Genomic DNA, 10,731 nt, shown 5'->3' on the forward strand with positions numbered 1-10,731 from the left:
TTTCAAAAGAAAACTGTCAGGCCTAAACTGAAGGTTTCAACAAGAAGAATTTCCCTAAATGTTTCTGTCTGAAGAATACAATACCTGAAAGCAAGAGATTTCTAGTAAATAATTTATATGCTCATAAATATTTTAAAAAATCAATGTTAAAATTCAAATTACAAAGAAAATCTGTTATATGGATTAACAGAGAAGAGAATCAATCAGTGAAAAGTTCATATTAGTCATTTTAATAACAAAGTACAAAAGAATAAGGTAATGACAAAAAAGTGACTTGTGTTAAAGAGGATGACTTGAAGGAATAGCAATTATTAAATATCTGATTACATATTTTATCAGTTAAAATATGTTTCTTTATGTGTGTTTGTTATAAGAAGCAGGTAGGGGTAATAGTCGCCAGCGTGAGCTAGGAGTCTGGAAGAGGGCGCGGTAGGTGAGGAAGGTCAAGTCCAGGAACTCTAGCTCCTTGCCACTCAAGAAATGTCCTCCCTTTCAGAATATGCTTTGCGCATGTCTCCTCTCAGTGCTCGGCTATTTTGTCAAGTCGCCAGGCCTACTGATTCCAAGGCTATGAAAGTGGTGAAACTATTTAGTGAACCTCCCGTGGCCAAGAAAAAGGAAATTTATGACTGATATCCAGATCACAATACTTAATACTGCACTCACGGGGACACTCCAATTTCTTGGACTCTACAGAGATAAGCATCAAGATTTTAAAGATGAGCAAAAAGGACTAAAGAAGCTTCGTGGAAAGGAGAAACCAAAGAAACGAGAAGGGAAAAGAGCAGCAAAAAGGAAATAGGGTCGCTCCCTCAAGAGGGAGAATTTCTTCCTCCGTGGCAGAGAGAAGAAAGTGCATTTATTGCCTTTCCACATATTGGAGGAATGTCATCTTCTGAAATGAAGGTTATTTGGAGAAACACAATCATCTCCTAGTTGAAATCTATTCCAGTTAAATTGTGACTGGTTTGTTGAACACATTCTAACCGTGCAAAACTCTTTTGGCCTTGGCCGTGTAATGTGAGGTTTACCTAATTCTCTAATGAAGTGAATACATAAGCTAATATTTAATGGTTTGGGGTGGGGTGGGATGTTGGAGCAATGGAGTGGAAACCTCATTAACTGAGCGTCCTATAGTGTCCTCATTTCTCGCTTCTTGCTTACTTACTCACCCAGCCCTAAACTTCTTTAATCTAGGGCCCTGCAGCCACTGTCTCCACCACCAAGCTCACAAATTTTCTGTGCCTCTTCACCTACTCCTTTGAGAAATCTATTAAGATGAATTTGCAGGATAAATATCTTTTAACATACTTCCCTTACCTAGAAAGGAAATATTGAATACCTGCTCTATACAAGATACTGGGGCCCTGGTAATACAAGTGATTAGCAAGAGAAATACTCCCTACCTCATGTAAGTTTCTGTCTTGTGGGAGGGACTAAATATTACATAATTACATACAATTGTATTACATGCTACAAAGGAAAAAGCCAGACTTCTATAAGAGTGTGGATGGTTGGGGCCGGGCGCCGTGGCAGACGCCTGTAAACCCAGCACTTTGGGAGACCGAGGCGGGTGGATCAGGAGGTCACGAGATCGAGACCATTCTGGCTAACACGGTGAAACCCCGTCTCTACTAAAAATATAATAATAATAATAATAATAATAATAATAATAATAATAATAATAATTAGCCAGACGTGGTGGTGGGCGACTGTAGTCCCAGCTACTCGGGAGGCTGAGGCAGGAGAATGATGTGAACCTGGGAGGCGGAGCTTGCAGTGGGCCGAGATTGCTCCACTGCACTCCAGCCTGGGCAACAGAGAGAGACTCCGTCTCAAAAAAAAAAAAAAAAAAAAAAAGAGGTCCAAACCACATTAGGGAATTAAAAAAAAACCTCCCTAAAGAAATGATATGTAGGGGCAGGGCACGGTGGCTCATGCCCTGTAATCCCAGCACTTTGGGAGGCCAAGGCGGGCAGATCACCTGAGGTCAGGAATTCAAGGCCAGCCTGACCAACATGGAGAAACCCCGTCTGTACTAAAAATACAAAAAATTATCCGGGCGTGGTGCTGCATGCCTGTAATCCCAGCTACTCTGAAGGCTGAGGCAGGAGAATCGCTTGAACCCGGGAGGTGGAGGTTGTGGTGTGCTGAGATCGCGATAAATAAGACGTAGCCAGAAGAAAAATGGTGAGAAAGGTGTTTGAGGCAAGAGAGTACCATTTGCAAAGCCCTAAGATATGAAGAAATTGTCTATTCAAGGAACACTGACTTTTTCATGGTTGGCCATAAGAAAATAGAGGCCAGATCATGAAGGGCTTTGCAAATTCTGTGAAAAAGCTTGAACATAACCAGAGGTTATTTCTGTGAGAGATGACTGTTGTATAGATTTGAGTAGCTAGCTGCTGGTTTTATTGTATTCTAGCAATGAGTTTCCAAAGAAATTGTGAGGGCTTCTCTGATTTTTTTTCCCAACAGCATGGCCAGTAAACCTTTTTTAGTATATGTGCTGCCGAAGCAAGCACAATTTTTAATACTTTTTATTACTGTGGTAAAAACATAGAATTAATCATCTTAACTATTTTTAAGTGTGCAATACAATAGTGTCAACTGTATGCATGTTATTGCACTAAAGTACTTTTAATCCCTGTTTCTAGCTCTCAGGTAAAGAGAACACAGTGCATAGGCAGGAGTATGTATAGCAATACTCCAGCCACAGTTTTCTTTCTCTGTAACATTGAATGATTCCTGAACTAGAAAGAATTCCAGTACATATGTTTAAACGAATGATCCTTTTAAAGATACCTAATCCAGATGGTATGGCTAAGGCCTATTTTATAGCCTGTTAAAAAAATACTAAACTAAAATTGGGTGGTTTGTATCTGATAGAAGTGAATTCCAGCAGAAGGCTGATAATTCACTCATTAAGAATTCTTTACTGAGCACCTGCCATGTGCCTGACACATAATAGTTGTAGAGGATACAGAGACCAATAGACTCAGTCCCTAAGATTGTGTGAATGAGCATGTGTGTTTTACAAAGTATTGGCAAGATCCCAGAAATTTGCTTAGACAGGTGCAGACGCACTGTTACTCTTGGTCAATGCAGCCGAGCCAGGTGTGTGTGGATGATTACCCCAGGAGATTGGGCTGAGAAACAGGCTCTCAGCCTGAACCCAGTGTAGCTAAGTAGATGTTTGAATTATGTGATCTCTAATTACTGGAAAAGATCTGAATGTAAGAAGAACTTAGGACAATTAGCATGATATTTTAAAGAGAATTACTGCAATAAATACTAACAGCAGACCTGAGTTAGAAAAGAAGTAAAGAATCAATGTACTGATTTGCTGATAGAAGAGCTTCAATGAGATCTCAGACTCTGACCCTGCAATGAGCCTTGGCAATGGTTAACATGGAAGTTTGTTGATAATGCAGCAGTAGATTAGTGTGCCACTGCTCCAGGCTGAAAATCAAAAATGAAAGCTAAAATTTATTTGTACATAAGCTATAACTTCAAACCAACTGATAGAGCAAGTTGTGTGACTCAAAACAGCCTGTACTGAACTACGATGGACCAGCTGGAAACTATTAACAGAAGAAAAGGAAAATTTAACTCTTGACAGCAGAGAAGTCAAGAAATTTCAGGACACCAGTGACCAAAGGTTAAGATGAAGACTAAATGCAATCAGAAAAAAATATTTAACTCAAAGCTTGGACTAGCTAGTTTGTTTAATTGGATTTCTCTAGTTTGTTTAATTGGATTTCTCTGGTCAAAACTTAAACTATTGGTGCTTTCTAATTGGGTTCATTGTGCATAGACCATTTTGCCCTCAGTTTCAGCACTGCATAGTAAAAAGACTGGGCTTTGTATTCAGAAGTCATGGGTTTGTGACATAGTTTACTTACTGGTTATGTGACTAAATCACTTACCTTCTCTGAGCCTCTTTCCTTCTCTATAAAATCATAATACTTCATTAGATTAATGGAATATTAAGGTATTTGTGAAAAGGAATCTGAATTATAAAAGGTTAAACACATCTGCTAAAAATATAAACTTCTCCACATTTACAAGCAGCACGATAGATTCAGGAAGAAGAGGCAGATGAGAGATAACATCTTATTGTTTCTGTAATTATGGGCTCCAGAAGTTTATTTTTCTAAGCATCGTATATGTGTGTGTATTTCAAAATAAACATAAGGCATCATATATTTTAACATATATAACCATAATGCTTGTATTTAAAAATCATCTTCCAAGAAAGAATAAACCAAAATTTGAAATTCAAAAAAAGAAGCAGGTGGAAAGTTTTCAGTAAATAACAGAGATTAACAGAAAAATTTATTTGCCCAAATGTCCAACAATGATAGACTGGATTAAGAAAATGTGGCACATATACACCATGGAATACTATGCAGCCATAAAAAATGATGAGTTCATGTCCTTTGTAGGGACATGGATGAAATTGGAAATCATCATTCTCAATAAACTATCGCAAGAACAAAAAACCAAACACCGCATATTCTCACTCATAGGTGGGAATTGAACAATGAGATCACATGGACATAGGAAGGGGAATATCACACTCTGGGGACTGTTGTGGGGTGTGGGGAGGGGGGAGGGATAGCATTGGGAGATATACCTAATGCTAGATGACCAGTTAGTGGGTGCAGGGAACCAGCATGTCACATGTATACATATGTAACTAACCTGCACAATGTGCACATGTACCCTAAAACTTAAAGTATAATAAAAAAAAGAAAAAAAAAGAAATTATATCAGACTTTTCTTAGAAAGAAGTTAGATAGCAGATAGTTGTATTACTGTAAGATAGCAACAGATAAAATATAATCAATTTGATGAAGCATGACATTAGCTTGACTATAATATACATGTCACCTAGAATATTTATATTTCTAACAATACATCTAAAATGTATAGTTTCCAGAAACCTTATGTTTCTCTGGAACCTTAATAAAATCTTTTGAAATTATGGGCATGGCATGTTGATTTAACTGTGACACTTCTTAACAATATATATCTTTAGGACAATGACTGATTCAACTGTTTCCCCCCAGTATCAGGTAGTATAATTGGTTCCTTCCATAATCAATGATTAGTAAACATTCGTTGAATCAAGTAGAAAATATTCAGTACTTTCTAGTTAATCTGTTGAAGTTCTAAGAAGAGAGAAATTAAATTTCATGCTACTACCAAGAGTTCCTGGAGTTCTATGTAGTTTTAATGAGTTACCAAAAGCAATATAACTGTATATTTTTTCTCATTCTTTTAATTCAATACTAAAAAAGTAATTTTCATGTAATAAAAAAGGTGTATATAACAGTGAATTTAGTCTATTACTCAATTCTTATGCAAATGACCTAGTCTCATTGTATATATCCTTCTAATACATTTTCACATTCACTAAGCATTCTTTCATTTAAAAAACAACTGGACATATGTTTTACAACATGATAGCTATTGGGGATACAAGAGGAGTAAGCTGTGATAGGCCATTATTAAGAAATTCTGAATAGAAAAGGAAACACTCACTGAAATAATAAAATATATAATATGTTAGGTATAATGATAGAGGTATACACAATGTTCTCTGTGTCATCAAGATGAGAACCTAGTAATAGCAACTAATACCTACCTAATATTAAATGTGTTCCATGTACTGTTCTAACTTCTTTACAATTATATTCACATTTATGACATACAGTTATTGGGTCAAGAATAGATGCATGTGAAATAAATGAGAATCTCAGGACTCTTTCTTATAAGGCCAGGAGAGAATAGAATCTCTTTCTTGGCAAATCTTGGTGTACATAGAGTATACCTATTTTGTCATGTAAGAGAAAAAGCCTGAGAAGAAAGCCTGTCTGAAGCTGATAGAGCTGAGGGAAATTGGAGTGAATTCACAGACCTGAAGCCACTGAAGTAAGCTAACTGTGAATCTTGCTCTATTTCTAGACTTTCAATTACTTGAACCAATACATTCCCTTTTTAAGTGAGATTGAGCGAGGTTTTCTAAGACTTGTTACTTGAGTGGAAAAGGACAATTGGTTTAAATACCATGATATTTTCATGTGATTTTCAAAGCCCTCCCAACTTTACACATTTCTCCTTCCCCTAATAAATTCCAACCCACCTACTAAGATTGAACTCAACTCTAATAACCTATATTAAGCCTTTCATTATCTCTCCAGTCAGAAGTAATTAATTACCTCTTTTCCTTCCATTGTATCTAGTGGCACTGATTTAACTGTCTTGTATTTTAGTTAGCTGTTTTTCATAAGAATTCCCTTACTGGCTTTGTGATTAGAAAGATGAGGTTCAAATGTCAATTTCTCCAGTTATTATTTGGAAGTTCATTAAACTTCTTTGACTTAGAACTTCTTCATATCTGTAAAATAGTGATAATAAAAATTAAATTATAAGATTAAATAGGATGAAATTAGATAACACATATGTTATGGATTGAATTGTGTCTCCCACAAAAATATATATTAAAATTCTAACTCCCAATAGCTCAAAATGTGACTTTATTTGGAAGTGGAGTCATTGAAGATGTAATTGGTTAAGAAGATATCATACTGGAGTAGAGTGGGCCTCTAGTCAAATATGATTGGTTTCATTATAAGGTGACAGACATGTGAGGAAAGAGAGACACGCAAGGAGAACACCATGTGACAACGGAGGCATAAATTGGAGTTATGCAGTTGCGAGCCAAAGATCAGCAGAGATTGCCTGCAAACTACCAGAAGATAGGATGAGACAAGTAAGGATTTCAGAGGGAGTATGGCCTTTGTAATGTGACAGGAAATTGGTCCCGATCCAGACCCAGAGAGAGAGTTATTGGATTTCACACAAGAAAGAATTCAGGGCGAGTCTGCAGTGCAAAGTAAACGTAAGTTTATTAAAAAAAGTAAAGTAGTGAAATTACAGCTACTCTATAGAGAGCGTAGGGTGTTCCCAAGAGTAAGAAGACCCACTACCACCTGGATTTTCTACTTTTAGACTTCAGAACTATGAGACAATAAATTTCTGTTATTTTTAGCCACCCAATCTGTGGTACTTTGTTAAGATAGCCCTAAGAAACGAATACAGCATGGAACATACTGCTTATTGTTGAGCAAAACGTTAAACAACAGTGAGTTTATCTGAAACTTACTAGGTAGGCAATAAATACCAGCTAAATTTTAAAAGATTTTATTGATCTCTATATTGTTCTCAGTACCTAACACCCACACATAAACACACATGCGTACACACACATTTATTATATAGTATTTATGTGTATACTGTATTCATATAAATATACACTAAATATACTGTATATATTTGTGTAACATGTATTTATTTTCTTATTTAACTGTATAACAGTTTTTCAATGTATATTAAGATCAACATTGTCCTTTCAGGTCAAGGCTGCATGAACGTCTCTCCCCACCTCTTCTCTTTCTGATACATTGATACTCATGGTCTACCAGTCTTCCATAAGAATAGCAACATGACAGCAATGACATCTATTTCTTCATGACTCTACATCCGTTTTATCTTGCCACTTGTAGAAGAAAGTTGGCATCATTGAACATTACCAGGATTTATTTTATAAATGGGCCAGCAGCTAACAAATTTAAAAAGACAAATTAAAACTTTAAGTTAGGGCAGTCAGTTTAAGTGTCACAGGACTCAATGTTCTCATGGCCTAACAGATTGTAATTATTTCATTTTGTTAATTGTTGGAAGTGTATGAATTGTGGAAGAACATTTTAAACTGTATTAAATCATATTTAAAGTGTACTGTGCATTTAGCCTGCATATAGTATAATTTATTTTGAATGTCCAGTATTAAAGAAAATCTTTTAAAGAAGACTGATAATAGAACTATGTACTTCCTTTGAACTCAGGCCCAGATTCATACTGGACCATACACCACTAAATTTCATGAGTCTCAAGCCTTTGGACTCAAACTAAAACTATACCATTGGCTCTCTTGGGTCTCCAGCTTTCCAACTGCAGAACATGGGAGTTCTGAGCCTCCATAACCACATAATCCAACCCCTTATAGTAAATATCTTTGTATATATGTATCCTATTGGTTTTGTTTCTCTGGGAAACCCAAACTTACATACACTATATGAATATTATTTATGAAATTCCTCTCTTGCCTCAGTTTTTTCAAATGGAAAGTTTTGATCTGAATTACTTAAGTATGTGAAGCTGTATCCACTAGTGAATTCAGGTATATATTCTGGATATGAGGAAATGTGAATTCTGAGTACTCTATAAATTCTGGCACCTGAAGTTATATAGATCATATACACTGGAGTCCTAAATTGTGCACCAAACCATTTATATATGGCTGTCTCAAGCTGTAACCACTGATATAACAAACCATATATTGCGCAGCAGCAACTGGAGCCTTGAACACTGTATGCATAGTTTAAAGGGGTACATTTTGCCTGCTTTGAAGTAATGTCTGAAGTTGTATACACTGAAAGCATGTAATCTGAAATCTTGCACGTTGAACACATTGCCGTCTCAGGCTCTACCTTGAAATATTATTAGCCTTGTTTATTTTTGCTTTTTTTAAACACTAGCATCTAAAGCTATGTAGACAGAGCTTTCAATCTTTATTAATTTTTTTCCCTTTCATCCAGAGGCATAGTTTTAAGGGCCTATATTTAGGCATACTCACATGTGTAGGTCAACAGTCTGGGTTTTATTTCATTACTGACTTTTAAACATCTGCAATTTTCCGTGGCTTATTAGCTTAGTTGGGTAGTGTCTGATGTTAACATGATCAACGTTGTGCGTTCCATGTCACTATGAAAATGATTTCTGGACCTTCTTCCTTGTGTTTCTTCCTTCCTTTCTCTCATAATTGTATCTACTCAGACAAGTTTTCTCATTAGTATATGCCCAGGTACTAAAAAGGAATCTGGCAAAAAATATGACTATGTATGCAGAAATTAACAGAACTACTGCTAAAAATCTATAAAGAGTAATCAAATTTCCTATTTCAGTTCAGTTCAGAAAGCCTACAATGAGAACTGGGTGATGTGCTATCAAAGGACACAAAAATTAATCGTGTCCAAGTTATCCAAAATTTGCTTGTCAGACAAACAACTATAAAGAAGGCCATAAGACCAGTTAGACTATTACAAGTACTATAGTGACTTATTAAAGCCAGTTGCTTAAGATCGTTTAGATTAAAGCTATAAATATTTTGGGGGATGAGTGAAGTAGCACGTAGATAAGGGCCCTTTGACAGGTCTTTGAGGATGCTCTGGACCTGGATAAGAAGTGGTATATCAGTCAAAGCTCTTGGTCACAAGCCAAATTACCTCCTAGAGTTTACAAATTTAGCAAGTCTGGATAGGATGTACTTATACTAATTAATTAGTCAGTCTATTTGTCAATTAATTAATTATTTATTACTTTTGCTAGTCTAGCAATCTTAGAAGGGGTATTTAGATGTAGGACAGGGAAAACTATGGCAAATGACCATTGACACACAAAATATTAAGCCATAGGCTTTAAATAACTTTAAAAATGAGACTATCAATATAGTTTTCATAAAATTCAAATTTCAGCGAAATCTCATGTATAACTTTAAAAAGAATCATAAGATAATAACTTGTATATTTATGTGACCCTAGAGTTTTCTGCTCATTTGTATATTTAAAGATAAACTACATAGGGTTTTCTAAAAATAGGGTTCTCTAGTCTTCAAAATGAAAGCGCAAGAAATACTAAGTTTCTAAGTTTAGTACTGTTTTTCTGAAACTGTATGGCACACTAAAAAGATCTGTGTGTGAAGTTCTACAAACACTCACTACCCTACAAGAAATAACTGACATCGAATCTGAAGAACTTATATTCACAGTTTCACAAATCATTTAAGAATAGTCCTTGGGGAAATACTAGATATTTGTTGAATAATTCTGATAACTTGAATTTCAATCAGATATCAATTTCCTGCCAAAGAATTGTCTCTATTATCTAATATAGTTACTTCCCTGGCAAAATCTATTAGATTTAAAAGGTCAAAATTTTGGATGCTTCTGCTTTTATTTAGTAAGTATTTAAATGGGCTGCTATCTATTGGAACTTATTTTAAAAGGGTACATAGACATTTTATTCCTACAGCTATTAGAGTTACTTTCATAAACATCAGTTTATTTCCTCATAGGGGACATTTGAACTTCTGGATTATAGCACTGTTATACTGACCAGCCAACCTCTGAAGAACTGCTCTTGAAATGTCCCCCAAATAGTGTGTGGGGAAAAAACAATCAATCCAAAAACATCTTTATTAAGGAATTCTGTAGTAAGAAATTACTCTTTTGAGTATTACACATTTCACCTCTCAAATAATTAACACCACATATTTTCCTAAAAAGAACAGTACCCTGGACTTTATTATATCCCATGATTTAGGATTGGAATTTGTGATAACAGATATTAAGTCATAGAAACAGTATCTGTAGATAGAAAAGAATAGGTATGTGAAATGAAAATGTGTAAAGAACAAGCATGATATCCACATAGAGGAAGTCACAGAGAAAATGAATCAAGATAACAGTATTATTGTGAGGCACAGAGATACAAGAAAGGCCTCATCAGCAAATATAATCTGTAAAGGTTAAGAATTTTAATTTTCTTCAACAGTAAATAGCACTGTCACATTCCAGGAAACAGTGAATGACCTTGGTAAGCATG

General features: G+C 35.5%; 1 pseudogene; it reads left to right on the forward strand.

The window, feature by feature from the left end:
• Positions 417-1,195, forward strand: MRPS33P3 (mitochondrial ribosomal protein S33 pseudogene 3; annotated as a pseudogene).

Source organism: Homo sapiens, chromosome 4, assembly GCF_000001405.40.
Source record: "Homo sapiens chromosome 4, GRCh38.p14 Primary Assembly".
Classification (NCBI taxonomy): domain Eukaryota; kingdom Metazoa; phylum Chordata; class Mammalia; order Primates; family Hominidae; genus Homo; species Homo sapiens.